At 38.1% G+C, this 17016-nt stretch overlaps 1 protein-coding gene across 4 annotated transcripts in view; it reads right to left on the bottom strand.

The window, feature by feature from the left end:
• Nucleotides 1-2412: 2412 nt before the first annotated feature.
• LRRN1 (leucine rich repeat neuronal 1) overlaps nt 2413-17016 on the bottom strand; it is a 50404-nt gene continuing 35800 nt past the window's right edge. For all 4 annotated transcript variants that reach the window (NM_001324188.2, NM_001324189.2, NM_020873.7 and 1 more), the window contains one exon: nt 2413-7883. In NM_001324188.2, the coding sequence (NP_001311117.1) occupies nt 5455-7605 (2151 nt within the window). In that variant the 5' untranslated portion in view covers nt 7606-7883 and the 3' untranslated portion in view covers nt 2413-5454. The remainder of the gene's footprint in view (nt 7884-17016) is intronic.

Here is a 17016-nt window from a genome sequence, read left to right as displayed (position 1 = left end):
TTAAAAAAGAAAAGCAGCAAGGTAGCATTTCCTTTCTTATCTAAGGCTGTGGTATTAAATGCCACATGAACAAGCCTTCTGTGGGGAGGTCCCTTGCAAGATTATGACACCTACCCTTTTCTTTGTTCCTCATTCTCAGGAAAGAACTAAATCCATCAGGCCAATGAGATGGCCAGCCCAGTACTCTGAGTGCCTTTTCAGTTAGAACATAGATTCATGGTTAGTCTTGGGCCTTGGAATCTGATAGCCAGGGCTGCTTGGCCTCATCACTTATCAGTGATGAACTGAGGCTCAGTTTCTCTATGTGAAAAATGGGGACAGGAATATACCTACTTTACAGTTATTGAGGATTCCACAAGATAATACAGGCCAAGCGCTCAGTACGGCATCTGAAGCACAAGTGCTCAAAATACGGCCATATTTGGGACCTACTTTTACTCCCACCCACTCTCATTTTGACTGATTGCTTTTCTTTTGCAGCTTCAGGTTCTTCCAGTTCAATGTAGGGATTTGTTGTCACAACCATGGAAGACCTGTCCTTTACTTTTTCCTCTTTGGCTTGTGATTTCCGTATATTGATCTCAGGTTTGAGTCTTAAATTAGACCCTCCCTCTTCTCCATTGTTCCTGACTCAAATGCTGAATATTTGGGAGTTATGTGCTCTCTATTCCTGACCTAGATTTAGCTTGTGGACCATTATACAGTTGGAAAACTACTGGTTTTAGTCAGTCAGTCCTGAGTTAAGTCTCAGTTGTTTCTTACCAGCTGTGAGATTTCAGGCAAGTTGCTTGGCTCTGTGAGGCTGAGTAAACACTATTCTCTAACATAGGGACGACATGGGCAACTGAAAGGATTCAATGTAAGTAATCTCTGTGAAGCTCCTAGCAGAGGGTTAGATGCACAACAAATGCTTCTCCCCACTTAAGTCACAGCTGTAAAAATGTAGTCCTTTCTGCCCCAATTACATGGTTTGTTTCCCTTCTCCTCATGACCACTGTCTTGTTTATATGAATGAGACGTGGTAATACGCAGACTGATGCATTAAAATGCTACCTTATTAATTCAGGACACCCCCACCCCTTACTAGAAATTCATGATCACTCTGTCAGGGCCCAGGCTGAAATTTACTTTGTCCATCTAATCTTATGGGAGGGAGACAGGGAGGCCCAGGTGGAAAGGAGAGGCATGATCTGACGCACTTTGTGGCCAGAACTGCTTGCATGAGGTACATGATACTGGATTTGCTTCATATTTAATATATAACTGACATAATGGGCTGTCAGGAGGGCAAATGCATAATGCCACTTTAATGTCTTACGGCATCCATATAAACTGGGGAGGGGGACTGGATGATTTCCTAAATATAAACACATCCACAAACTCCACAATTTGGTAATTATGCAAGAGCCATTGTCTGGCTGTTCCCTGTGTTTTCAGGCATGTCAGGTACCCTTGCAAATTGCTCAGTTTATATGAACTTCACATTTCCGCATTTAAGCTTTGGAGCTAAACACTTGAGTTTGTCATTAATTTTATAAAAGCTTTCCATGGTTTCCTGCTAAGGAAAGAGTTTGGTGTCTTCTCCACAAAAATCTATACATTTCAAAATTTTAGGAGTGTGTAACAGAGAATAGTATGGGGGAGTTCAAGATTAGAATTAAAATTTAGCCTGATATAAGTATAGTTTTGGAATGTACCTCAAGATTCCCAGCATATAAGGTTTCTTAAAGAAGAAAAGATAAATAAATTTGAAGACATAAAGAAAGCCTTCATTGTCATCTCCCGCCGTCAAGTCTCCTAGGAATTCTTTAATATGAGAAACCCATTTAGTTCTGTTTACCTGTTCTGGGCAATGTTGAACCAGCAGACATAAAAATCCTTAGTTCCCTCAGCATCTCCTTTTTACTAAAGAAGCTGGTATCAGTGCTTATGGGGGAAGTGGGGGTTGGGGCAGGGGAACTGTCCACACCAGATTAGATCAAGTCCTGCAGAGATTCCAGGCCAAAATTATTCTAGACCTCCGGATGGTGATTCTGAATCACCAATCTTTAAAGAAACATTTTTTTTTCTTCCAAGCTAATCCCTTTTGAATAACAATAAAAAAGTCTATTTGCAAGCAAGGCGAGAGTGAAAGAACTGAGGTGAAGAAAGCATTTCCAGTTGTACTTAGAATGCTTCAGAAGTAGTTACATTTCCCTTTCCAGTGAATAGAAAGGGAAAAAGTGTGGTTTTTCCCAGCAAACTGTTGGAGATATAAAATGCTTCCCCCTACCCCACCAATGGTGAAAACAGTAATAAAGAAAAGAAAATGCCTTGGAAAATGAATACAGAAATAGAAAACAAACACCAAGTAAAGGGTTGACTATGGCGTCCTTAGCAAACAAATGAATGATTGAATAAATAGAAACCACATGAGAGAAAATATGCACTTTGATATTGTTTGCAAAAAAATAGAGATGATTCCTTTTTGCCAAATCAGAAACACTGACAATCAAACATTACATTTGTTTTTATATCCATGGCATCAGTTCAATTTTTCATTAATTAAATGAGCAAGTTAGGGAATGCCTGTTTTAAGAAACTGCTCCAAAAATAACCTTGAAAAATCAGGTTAGAGATACACTATATACCCTGAAGGCAGCAGAAAGCAAAAGGGAAAATATGAAATTAGAAAGTGACCTATAATAACCACTTCACTGTTAAAGGTGACATAACATTCATTATCCATCAGGACCTAGTTTGAGGTCTAATTTCACTGGCTGTCTAATTTATGAAATTAAATACAAATGAGAAAATACTTGGCCAAGGAAAAAAGTACTCTATCATTTTGTTTTCTATCAGCTGAAAATCAGCTCATTAGCACAGACAGGGAAAAGTAAGTTCCAGTACTTTACTGAAGAAAAATGTAAAAGGGGTTTTTCCCCCCAAACTGGGCTGGCAGAAGATATTGTTGATGAAAAATCTTAGATTTCCCGGTGCTTGCTATATCTTCAGAATGGAGAAACGGCTGAGGTTTTTCCCTTCATTTATTGCACCCGTATTTAAGTGCTCATTCTGTGTAAGTTCAAATGTTTGCTTTATGGGCCGAATGAAACCTCGCAGATTTGCAATTGCAGGCTGCTGAGGGTCTAATGCATCAGTGCCATCCATTTTCATGGTTCACAGATGAACAGGAAAGTTGTAACATGGTCCATTACTCTGCAGACGTTTGAAGACAAGAATTCCTCAAGGGAAACACCTCAAGTTTGCATTCAACGCAGCTCCAATTCTCTGTGTTTCCCATACATACTTTGCAATACTAACAGTAGAGACACCGTCTGATCTGCCCTGTGCTAAAATGTATCCTGAGTAAATGGGAACTTGAGGATGTACTGCATTTTTGAAGCAGGGGCACTAGAGGTTATTCAGAACTGCAAAAGAGGGGCCCTGCACAGGAACCTAACAGGCTGCCGGGCCTAGAACAATCAATGGAGTGCAGAGCGCTGAACTGGCAGGAGTCCGAACTGGGTAAGCTGCAAGCCCTCCCTGGGCCCAGGTTTTTCTCACCAATAAGTGAAGGCTTTGGGAAGGGATACCTCGAGCTCAGGTACTTATTTTTCTGTTGCAGCTCATTTGTTTCAAGATCTGAAATTCTGTTTGCCAAAACCCCTTAAGAATGGGAAGAAAGTGATTTTTTTTAATAAAGTGATTCACAAAAGCAAGATACTGCCAAAGAAAGAAATACCTCAACCTACATCACCTGGACTTTCTTTCTGCCAACTTCCTTGCTTTTGCTTGTCTGGCACCTGTCTGATGGAATGCTGTGTGCCTGGCGGCAGCTGCCTTTTGAAACAACCTTTATTTTCAAATGGGTTCTTCTTTACCTATTAAATCCCATCCCTCCCTCTGCCCTTTGTGGAACTGGCCTTCTACCTAAACCTAGTTCCATCTGCTCTAAATGTTACATGTTTCCTCTATAATCTTGAAACAATTCTCCAAAACTGTCTATATATATTTGGATGAAAAGTTTGAACTGTACGGAAGTTGTTTTGTTTTCTATTAATCATTTACTTGTCTCAGCAGATATTGCCACACAGATATAGAGACTAACACGGGTCTAAGCATATAGACAACTGTTAAAAAGAAATAACATGTCATACAGTTTGTGACACTCCACAGACGTTTTTGTACTTTGATGAAGAATGTGGATACTACAAAAGAAAATCAGGTTTTAACAAAACTCTTACAGAAATGACATATCCAATATATTCATATATATATACACACGCATTGTGTGTGACAGGTTGGGATGTGTGTGAGTATATATGAATATATTGGTGTATATATATATTTACCTTTATTTATGCATGGGATACAACAATACACCTTTTTTTCTTCATATGAACCACCCTCCCACTGCCCATTAGGTGCTAGTCAGTACTATTTAAAATACAGAAATCCTGTTCATTAAAATATCTTAATTAAAATAGACATTTCTTCCCTTAGAAAAAGAATTAAAACCTTTTAGGGCCTAGCTTTAAAAAGCAACATGCTACAGCTGATTTATTTTGGTAGTTGTTTTTATGGATGTGAAAAATATTACCACTGCAACTAGCAAGAACTATAAATGATACATTATTGCAAGTGTTCTAAAAAATCAGAACAAAACTAATTTATTATAGTTCTGTCTTCATTATACACCACGTGTTGGTGAGTTAAACACAACAAACTTGTCTTTTCTTTTAAAAGTGTCTACTAAAGATAAAAAGAATAAGATAACAATTAACATGTAGTTTGTTACATTAAAAAATCTGATATACATATTTCTATTGCCTGTTAGCTTGTTCTAAGCCTCTTTAACTATTACAACAAAAAAAAAAAAAAGGAAAGAAAAAGAAAATTCATTGTTTAAAGGCAAACATTCAATTCAGTTGATACAACATTACAGTACAGTCAACTAACATCATTCAACGAAGGTAACAAGTCTAGCCTTAGCTTCTTGAGTTAAAAGTCTATAGACCAGATTGCTACAAAAGTTTCAATGCTGCTTCAAAACCGTATGTTAGCTTTTTGGAGGACAAAGTACTTTCTACGGATGGCTTCAGAAGGGGTCATGCTACTGGTAAAAGCACAGGGGAACCCCATCCTGTCATTAATCATTTTATTGAGCACTGTAGTTAGAACAGCATTATTGAGTTTAGCACAACAACTAAAATAAAATAATAATATAATAACAATCATAATAATGATAAGAATAAAAACCAAACACAGACTGGAAGCCTAGAGTCGCTGGCAGCCGTGTCAAACCCTTGCGATACGCTATACTAAAAAAATTTGAAATATCCACCCGTCCTCTCCACTCTGCCACAAACTAGCAAAGTCAAAAATACAAAAGTCTTCAACTTGTTCACTTTTGCAGAATAAAGCAAAAACGTCTTTGTGCTCCTTACTACCAGAAGCAAAATATCCTCTGAGTTACCACATGTAATAGCTTCTGGATGTGTCGACCTGGGTTGGCTTGGTGTCTGCAGAACCATCTTTGTCTTTCTCGCTGTCACCTTCCCAGAGGTTAATGAGTGGTGGGTACAGCTCATTTAGTGGGATTGAAGAGGTTTTTTGCATATACTTTTTTAATGAGTGGTGGTAGTTTTTTCTCTTAAATCTTTTGGCAAAGTACACAGCAATGGACGCAAGGCTAATGACGGCAAACATAGACCCCATTACTGCAGCAAGGGCTGTACTGGTTTCTTGATCAGAGATGTCCACTGCGAAGGCGGCATTTTTGGTTGTGACATTTACGCATGACTTTTGAGTCTGCTGATGAATATTGGACACTGTGAGACACACTTCATAATCTGTGGAAGGCTGCAGATGCGTTAGGTTGTATTCATGGACATCGACTGGGACCCTGGCAGTATATGTTATGTGAGGGTTATCAATCTTCATGGTGGCAGACGACCATTTTAAGTTTGACGTCATGACATTGGAATTAACTTTCCAGGACACTAAGATGGAATGGGATTCTGTCTGCTTGACGTATATTTTTAGCACCTGGGTACCATCCAGAAGGGTCCCATTAACCTTAATTGTTGCCACCCGAGTGTCTGCCCCTTGGACATTCTGGGCAACACATGTGTATCTTCCTGAGTCTTCAATTTGTATGTTAGATATTTCCAAGGTACCTTCGCTACTTAGCTTGTATTTATCTGAAAGGGTTTCCACAGTTATCTTATTTCCAATGGGAGTGACCCAGTAAATTTCAGGTTCTGGCTCAGCCATGGCTCGACAGTCTAGGAAAACCGTCGTGCCGATATCCACGTTTAAACGATTTGGGAAGCTGTCGTGAGATATCATTGGGAGGCACTGTTCACTCGAATCCTGGATTAAAACTTCCTTCACCTGGTGCCCTTTATATTCGGGCGGCATGGCACAGAACATGGACAGGGGCTCCATGAAGCGGATGTTGGTTTTGTTGGAGTTAATCCAGTGGATCACACAGTCACACCTGAGGGGATTGCTATGGATACTGATCTCACGCAGATTGGGGAGGGATTCGACTGTCTTTTGGTAAATGGCATTCAAGGCATTGTTGTTCAGCATCAAGCTTTCCAGAGCAGGGACACTTCGGAAAGCCAAGCGGTGGATGTAAGAGAGTTTAGGGTTATTGGTGGCTTCCAGCTTTGTGAGTTCAGGCAAGTTATCCAGGGCATAGCGGTCGACAGAAACGAGCTCGCCCATATTGTTGATTCCCAGTTCTTTTAACCGAAGCATATTTTTGAAGTCCCCTTCTTGGATTTTGTGAATGGGGTTTTTGTTGAGGTCTAAGAATTTCAAATTTGGAACTTTTTGCAGGGCAAGTTGAGGGACTTTAACCAGTTTGTTATCATAAAAAGACAGGCTCTCAAGGCTATCCAGACCCACCAAAGCATTTCCAGGAATATCAGTGAGATACATTCCTGCCAAAACTAAGCTTCTCAAATTTGCGAGGGGTTTGAAGTTCATATCCAGAATTCCAATCACAGGGTTTTCTCCGATCATGAGAATTTCCAGGTTGGGTGTAGAATCAAACCAGCGACTATCAATAACTTTCAATTTGTTGGAGTTCAGGTGGAGCCTTAATAGATTTTTTAAGCCTGCAAAAGCATGAGCAGAAATAGTGCTAATTTGGTTGTGGTTGATGTAGAGTTCTTGAAGGTTGCTGAGGTCTTGTAGACAGTAATCAGTCATCTCGGTAATCTGATTTTCCTCCAAATGCAGCGTTGTGAGCTGGGTTAGGTTTGCCAGCCCGACCTCCTTAATGTTAGTAAAGTTGTTTTGGGAGAAATCTAGTTCAGTCAAGTTGAAAAGCTGCTGCAGCTCATCCACAGTCTTTGCGATGTTATTGCTCTGTAAGAGAAGCACTTGTGTGTCACTAGAGAGGTTACTGGGAATCCTTGTTAAGCGGAGGTCATTGCAATCAACAGTGGTGGCTTCTCTGTAAGTTGACTGTGGGGTAAACCAGGGACGAATTTCACATACGCAAAGTTGTGGACACTCACTATTCTGTATGGAAGACTCGGTTAATGAAGTCATTAGTAGGCCCAGCACCAATTGGCAAGCTGCTATAACAAAGCTCATCCTAGCCATGCTGGCTTGCTGAGCAAGCTCAACTCCTGACACCCCAAAGTTTTAACAAAACGTGAACACTATATTGTGATATGTAGGACAGCGAGCAGAAAATGTAAACATTCAAGCAAAGTCTTGGTTGAGCTGTGTAGAATTCCAGAGTCCAAAGGGATGGTTTTCAGGAGTTTTCAAAAGGCAGAAAGCAACTTGGAGTCTTTTAACTGTGTCTCTCAATTCCAGGCATGTGCACAGGTCCGTGGCATGAATTATTTCAGCCAAATTGAAGTCTGGAGATGTGCCTGAAAATTAGATTAGGACAGATGTTATGCTTATTCCATATACTTTCTACATTATAGCCTTTCTTTTGTTTACTAAAAAGGCATAGTCACTCGCAAATCTAGTATTGAATACATTCAAAATCCATTGAAGATAACCAAATAAGCTTTTAAATTGTAGGACATTCTTACTATATCCCACTTACTATACTAAAACTAGTTTTAGAACTCCTTCACTTTTACAATTAAATTGAGATTCCATGTACCACTAGTCATATATGACTGTGTACATTTGTATGTATACACATGTAAAGTCACTAAACATGCACACACACACACACAAATGCACACACTCATACATACTTAATAGGAACACTAAGAAAAAGCCTGCAGATGTCTTTTCTTTAAAAACAAAGATGTCTTTAGAAACTACATGTATTTATAGCTCCAAAAAATTAAAAGTTCATTCCTAGTGAAAGCAAAACATGAAAGGTAGTTTATTAAAGACTCAAAGCTAATTTTTAGTTATTTACATTTTAGTTACTACCTCATTTGTCTCCTGGAAGTCTTTCTTTTCTAAATGCTACATTCTGCAGACATATTCAGCCAATGCTTTTCTAGCTCAGTTATTCCTATGCAAAAAGTTAATTTAATATCCTACAACATGGATGAAAATATCAAAAACATGCTTGAAAGATGCCAGTCATAAAAGATCACCTATTTTATGATTCCACATATACAAAGTATCCAGAATAGGACAACCTGCAGGGACAGAAAGTAATTTAGTAGTTGCCTATGGCCAGGGGTATGGGGGGGGGTACAGTGGGAAGGGTGCTAAAGGCTACAAAGTATCTTTTTGAGATGATGAAAATATTCTAAAGATTGTGGTGATGGTTGCACAATTCTGTGAATATTCTAAATATTCACAGTTATTTAAATATTACATTTAACTTAACTAAAAAAGGAAAACATCAGTTTTGCCTATATTTGAATAGCCACATCAGATCTTGACTGACTGATAAAAGGACTTCATTCTGTCATACCATTGGTCTCCATTAAAAACACAAACATACACAATAGATGTATTTGTATCTCACACAGATGATCTCATTAATCTCGTGAGAATGTCACTCACTGCTTAATAACTGTTGACCATGAACATGTTTATATAACCTCTTGAAGCCTCAAGTATCTTCAGCTATAAAATGGGGTTGCTCATACAAGGACAGTTCTCATAGGATTATTGAGAAAATTAAGGGAATCTATGTAAAGTTCTTAGTGTAGTAGCTGACTCACATTATATGCTCACAAAAGTTAATAATTGTTATTCATCATCTTGTATCTCTAATCCATTTTAGTTTTAGCTAAATAGTGGTTGTCAGATGACAAGTAAAAGAAGGAAAGCTGAGGATATTTGTTTTTATTAACCATCATCTATTGGTTTCAATAAAATCCTCTGAAGTCAGGTATGTACTGCTCACCTGCTGGCAAAGATAATATTAGTAGTTAGTGGTTCCATTTTTTCTGCATTCCAATCAGGTGTAAAAAGCCATTATGGATCCAGTGTTTGTCTTGCTTTCCCAAACTGGGCCATTCACTTGCTAAAGTATTCGAAGCAGAGTTACATGTTTCCTGGTGTTTGTCTTGCTATAGTGCACTTGAGTCTTGAGCACTGAAGGAACTTCAGTGACTAGTGTATTCTTCACTTTCCTACTATAAGGACTTAATAAAATAGAGCATATGTGTTTAAACCCAGTGCTCAATACATAGCAAGCTCTGAATTCATGCTAGCTGCTATTATTAACCTTTCGACTTTGTAAAACGTAGTTATCTTTGTGACTAAGAGTATAAGAATACAAATGGCCAATACTAAAAGTTATGTATTTAATGAGTCATATTTTCACAGTAAGAAGGAAAAGTCCTACAACTTTTTTGTTATACAAAATATGAAAACTGCATTACTGGTCTAACAATAAAAAAAAAAAATTAAATCCAGATTCTGGCAAGTGTGAGACAGGAGTAGGAAATGATTGTATAAGTGTGTTGCCTGATACTAGATGCCTGCTAGTCTGTGGGAGGAAACATACATTTGGCATTCTTCTCCCTCCTCCCCATCTCCAAGTCTGGTTACTTTACCATTTATTATGTAGTCTTGTGCCACCATAAAGAAAGTTTGGCCAATGATGGACCGCATATACAATGGTAGTCCCATACAGTTGTATTAATAGTACCATATTTTTACTATACCCTTATGTTTCAATACACAAATACTTGCCATTGTGTTACAATTGCCCATTGACTTCAGGATAGTAACATGCTATACAGGTTTGCAGCCTAGGAGCAATAGGGTATATCATATAAGCCACATATATCATATAGGCTACATACCACCTAGGTTTATGTAAGTATACTCTATGACATTTGCACAATGACGGAATCACCTAATGACACATTTCTCAGAACACATCCCCATCATTAAGTGACATGCTTGTATTTGCAAAACTTTTCAGTATTATAAAACTAGTTGACTCTGACTTTTATCTGGAAATTCTATGAAATGAAAAAATACAGGCCGGGCGCGGTGGCTCACGCCTGTAATCCCAGCACTGTGGGAGGCTGGCAGGGGGCAGATCATGAGGTCAGGAGTTCGAGACCAACATGACCAACATGGTGAAACCCTGTCTCTACTAAAAATATAAAAATTAGCTAGGCGTGGTGGTACGTGCCTGTAATCCCAGCTACTCAGGGGCCTGAGGCAGGAGAATCGCTTGAACCTGGGAGGCAGAGGTTGCAGTGAGCCAAGATGGCGCCACTGCACTCCAGCCTGGGCAACAGAGCAAGACCCTGTCTTAAAAAAACAAAAGAAAAGAAAACATACCACAGAGAATAACATTTTTATTATTAACTCCACAAATTTATTTCACTCTTGTTTCTGTTTAGAGTAATCTTGAAACAGGTGCACTGGCCACAATACATTGTTAAGAAAACCTCTGCCACAGGTTATTTCTCAGTCATAACTCAAAATAGAAAACCAAAAGAATAAAGCTACCTTTCATAACTGAGACAGAATTTCAACTAATTTTTTTTTTTTTTTTTTGAGACAAAGTCTCGCTCTGTCGCCCAGGCTGGAGTGCAGTGGTGCGATCTCGGCTCACTGCAACCTCTGCCTCCCGGGTTTAAGCAATTCTCCTGCCTTAGCCTTGTGAGTAGCTGGGACTACAGGCACGTGCCACCACACCTAATTGTATTTTCAGTAGAGACAAGGTTTTGCCACATTAGCCAGGATGGTCTGGATCTCCTGACTTCGTTATCCGTCCACTTCGGCCTCCCAAAGTGCTGGGATTACAGGTGTGAGCCACCGCACCCAGCCTCAACTAATTTTTATGTTTCTATTGAATGTAAGGAAATGTACCAAGAAGTAAAATATGTATTAAAGTTGTGTGAGAGACTTCCAAAACAGTCTGTTAGTATTGAGAAATAGCCTTTATGGGGCTATAGGTTCAACATTATTATAGCTAATGCCCCCATTTTAGTTTAAATTATATGATTTGAGATAACTGTGTTGAAATGTTCAAATTTTTCTTTGACATACACACATACCTTTTTCAAGCAACTAACCAACCAATCAACCATGGAAACTCAGAATGTTAGAAATCAGATCAAGCACAGAGGAAGACATTTTTTTCTCCTACATTCTATAAGAATGTATGTATAAGAATTTCCTCTCCACATCCTAGAAGACATTCCTTTGGCAGCAAGGAATTAAACATCCTTAATAAAAAAGGAGATGTTTAAGATATTTCTATTTGTATTTAATTCTGAATTCTCTTTAGCAAATTTCACCAAACTTTTTTAATGTGACATTATACATAGAACAACTTTATTATAGAGTCCTTAAGCCATTTTAGATGTTTACAATGTATGGCATTTCTCAGGAGCTACTCGCCAATAGTGTTTAAATGTAAATCCATTATCACAACAAGAAAACTACAGACCAATATCCCTAATGCATACTGATGCAAAACTTCTCATATTAAAAAGATTATATACCATGAACAAGTTGGATTTATACCAGGAATGCAAGGAAGGTTCCATATGTGAAAAACTATCAGTATAATATGCCACATTAACAGAATGAAGAAGTAAAAACACATGATCATCTCAATTGATGCACAAAACCATCTGACAAAATTCAACACTTTTTCATGATAAAAACACTCAACAAATGAAGAATGGAAGGAAAGTACCTACACATAATAAAAGTCACATATGAAAAGTCCACAGTTAAAATGATTCTTAATAGCAAAAAACTGAAAGTTTCTCCTCTAAGAATGGGAACAAGGAAAGGATGCCTATTCTTGCCATTTCTATTCAACACAGTACTAGAAACTCTAGTCACAGCAATTAGACAAGAAAAATAAATAAAAGGCATTCAAATGGAAAAGAAGTAAAATTATCTGTTCCCAGATTACATAATCTCATATATACAGAAAATCCTAAAGATCCCACAAAAAACCCACTAAAACTAATAAATGATGTTAGCAAATTTGCAGGATACAAAATCAACACACAAATGAGTTATATTTCCATAAACTAACAATGACTAATCTGAAAAGGAAATTAAGGAAACAACCCCATTTACAAAAGTATCAGAAAGAATACAATGCTTAGGAATGAATCGAACTGAGGAGGCAAAAGACTTGTACAATGAAAATTGTTAAGAGATAACCAAAATAAATCAAAGATGATATAAACACAATGATGAAACATCCCATGTTTATAGACTGGAAAATTTAATATTGTCATACTGTCTATAACACCCAAAACAATCTACAGAATCAATGCCATCTCTATCAAAATCTCAATGGTAATTTCTACAGGAAAAAAATCTAAAATTCATATAAGATCAAGAGATTTTAAATTGCCAAAGTAATCCTGAAAAAGAACAATGTTGGAGACTTCACACTTCTTGATTTCAATACATACTGTAAGGCAACAGTAATCAAGATGGTGTGGTACTGACATAAAGGCAGACATACAGACCAATGGAACAGAGTCCAGAAATAAAGCCTTCTATACATGCTCTTTATGATCTTTGACAAGGGTGCCAAGACTATACAATAAAGGACAGTTTCTTCAACAAATTGTGTGAGGAAAACTGGATATCTACATGAAAAGAATGAGGTTGTACTCTTACCTTATGCCATATACAAAAATTAACTCAAAATGCATTAAAGACCTAACCATAAGACCTAAACCTATAAAACTCCTAGAAGAAAACATAAGGAAAAAGCTTCAGGGTATTTGGCAATGGTTTCTTAGATATGACACCAAAAACACAGGCAACGACAACAACAACAGAAGACAAATGAGATGATTTCAAACTTAAGGTCTGTGCATCAAAGGAGATAATCAACAGCAAAAAAAGATGACCTACAGAATGGGAGACAATATTTTTAAATTATATATATGATAAAGGGTTAATATCCAGAATATATTATAAACTCCTACAACAAAATAACCTTATTAAAAAATGGGTGAAGGGCTTAAATAGACAATTCTCCAAAGACATACAAATGACCCACAAGCATATGAAAAAATGCTCCATATCACTAATCATAAGAGAAATGCAAATAAAAAGCACAATGAAATATCACCTCATACTCATTAGGATGGACACTATCACAACAGAAAATAACAGGCATTGGAAAGGATGTAGAGAAATTGTAACCCTTGTTCACTGTTGTAGAGAATGTAAAATGGTGCAACCATTATGGAAAACAATATAGTGATTTCTCAAAAAATTGAAAATATAATCACCATACGATTATGTCCCAGTTCAGGGTACATATCCAAAAGAATTAAAGCGGAATCTTAAAGAGATATTTGTACACCCACGTTCATTGCACCTATTATTATTCACAATAGCCAAGAGGGAGAGGCAGCCCAAATGTCCATTGACAAATGAATGGATAAGGAAAATGTGGTTTAATTAGATCCCATTTGTCAATTTTTGCTTTTGCTGCAATTGCTTTTGGTGATTTTGCCTGTGCTTATGTTTTGAATGGTATTGCCTTGATTTTCTTCTAGGGTTTTTATAGTTTTGTGTTTTACATTTAAGTCTTTAATCTATCTTGAGTTAGTTTTTTTATAAGGTGTAAGGAAGGGGTCCAGTTTCAATTTTCTGCATATGAGTAGTCAGTTCTCCCAGGACCATTTATTAAATAGGGAATCCTTTCCCCATTGCTTGTTTTTGTTAGGTTTGTCAAAGATCAGATGGTTGTAGATGGGTGGTCTTATTTCTGAGTTATAAAAAGAAACAAGATCATGTCCTTTGCAAGGACATGGATGAAGCTGGCAGCCATTATCCTCAGCAAACTAACGCAGGAACAGAAAACCAAACACCACATGTTCTCACTTATAAGTGGGAGCTGAAAAATGAGAACACATGGACACACAGGGAGGGGAACGACACACACAGGGCTTGTTGGGTGGTGGGGTGAGGGGAGGGAGAGCATTAGGAAAAACAGCTAATGCATGTTGGGCTTAATACATAGGTGATGGGTTGATAGGTGCAGCAAACCACCATGGCACACGTTTACCCATGTAACAAACCTGCACATCCTGCACAGGTACCCTGGAGCTTTAAAAAAAAAAATTAAAATTAATTAAAAAAAAAGAAAAAAAAATGTGGTGCGGTGGCTCAAACTAGACTGCTCTGATCCCACCAGAACCCTGCTGCTGTCCATTCACATCAGGATTACCCAGGAAAGCAAACAATTTAGCCTTCCTGGCATTATATCACCTAGTTCCTTGGACTATAGAGTGAGGGCTTATGTATCTCCTATTTAGAGAGTGTGTTTCATAATTGTAGAAAGGGTAGAAAATGGACCAACCAGCAGGCTGAGTCATTTTTTAAGAGGGTGGCAGGAATAACCCCAAATGAGCTCAACAAAACTGAGGAACCCAAGGAATGGTGCTTGAAGGGAAGGTGGGGTTGGTTGTGGTCCTTAAAGCTCTTGACACTTGGTGTGGGGTTATAAAATGGGGGGGGGAAGGAGTAATAAAGCCCTTGCCCCCAATCCAAATGCTCTCAAGGACTTAGTATGTAGTCTTATTTTCCAGTTTTGTTTGTTTACAAAGTAACCTTGCTTGATACTGCATGGAAAGTCAAGTTTTTCTTTTTGCACACTCAGGGCCACCTGCCTGGGCCGGCATCTTCCCCAGCGTCTTCACAGCACTCCTAAGGAAGACTTTTGCAGTGCTTTCCAGAGCTGAGGGGAGTGGAATTTAGTCCAGAGAAAGTGAAAGGAAAGTGAGGTTTCCTGTTTCATCTTCTCAAGGCGGATGTTCTCAGCTTCCTTCACACCTCCTTCCCATGGGTGCAGGAGACAGTACAGCTGGGTTGTGTAGGTGGGCCAAGAAAAAAGGGGCACTGGTCCAGTCCCAGGTTTGGCCCAACACAGGTACACAGCAGATACCATCCTATCTTCCCCTCTTAATAGCAGGCCAACCACATGTAACCCTTTTTTCCTTTACTGATGAACCTTCTTATGTGGTACCAGCAACAGGGGACAGACAGGCCCACCCACTGTAGTCTAGGGAGAGTTTTGCTACTACCCCTAAAATTGTACCACCCCCCATATCCCACTCCTTTTTGTAAAAACGAAAGGAGTTTAAACCTGTAAGCATGCTATTGCTTCCTATGTGTTAATCAGTTTCCTTCCATTTGAGCTGCATAGGAGGGAAGGGTATTGGAAGCACAGGCCGTGATCTTGTGCCAATCAGTAAAAACCACTACTACATACACACACACAAACACACACACACGAAAATGTGGTGTGTACATACAATGGAATACTATCCAGCTTTAAAAAGGAAGTCCTGTCATATGCTACAACACGGATGAATCTTGAGGACATTATGAAATAAGCCATTCACAATAGCGTGAATAGTACGTGATTCCATTCATATAAAGTAGCCAAAATCATAGAAACAGAAAGTAGAAAGGTGGTTGCCAAGGGCTTGGAGGTAGAGGGAATTAGTGTTTAATAGGAATAAAGTTTTAGTTTTGCAAGATGACAAAGTTCTAGAGATCTGTTACACAATAATGTGAATATACTTAACACAACTGAACTGTACACTTAAAATTGAGAGATGGTAAATTTAATGTTAAGTGTTTTTACCACAAAAAAAGCGAAGCCATAATAATTCAGGCCAACTTTTATAACATATACAAATTAATTATCTTAAATTCTGCAACAAATAAGAAATGGCTGGAATAGATTTTTTTTTTTAAGTGAAATTGCTTTCTTCTAGGGCTGACTGACTAGATCTATCAAATGTAAGAAGAAAATGTCCTGCTAATTACCAGGGTGATGTTCCACAAAGAAGTCTGGCAGTTTAAAGAAACAATCCTTTAATTAACAAAACATGGCTTTAAGGCCCAGAATTGGCACGGGATGCATTTCAAGAGTCCCACAAACAATTATACATTACATTTGATGCTTCTTTTTTTTTTTCCAACACGATATGTTTGGGACACTCTGTTCTGAGTATAAAATTCTGAAGGAAATGAACTGCATGATCATCACCATCACTGCACTTGGCGGAGACTCTCACTTTCCCCATAGCATTGTGTCAGATAGGATATTAGTTTAACAGAATGACATTATTCGGTGGGACTTAGCTCTATGATTTATATGCATTAACTTCTTATGAAGTTGGGCAAAAAGAAATATATACTCACAGTAACAAGCTAGTTATTTGTATTTCTGTTACTGCAAAAAAAAAAAAAAAAAAATCAGGCAGCTCTGGGGTTGGAGAAAGAATTCTACCCTGGAGGAATCAAGTGTTCTGTATTCGAATTATGCTTCTCCACTTACTAGATGTGTCACTTTGTGCAAGCTGTAGACCTTCCCCAACTGACGATAGTTCAACTTACAATTTTTTGACTTTACAAAGGTGTGAAAGCAGTACACACTTAGTAGAAACCATACTGTGAGTACCTATATGATAGCATCCTATTTTTCACTGTCACTGCAGTGTTCAATTACATGAGAAATTCAACACTTTATTAGCAAACAGACTTTATGGTAGATGATTTTGCCCAATAAAACTAATGTAAATGTTCTGACAATATTCAAGGTAGGCTATG

Source organism: Homo sapiens, chromosome 3 (assembly GCF_000001405.40).
Source record: "Homo sapiens chromosome 3, GRCh38.p14 Primary Assembly".
Lineage (NCBI taxonomy): Eukaryota > Metazoa > Chordata > Mammalia > Primates > Hominidae > Homo > Homo sapiens.
Note: the sequence above shows the minus strand (reverse complement) of the source record. Positions and strands in the feature narration are given on the sequence as shown.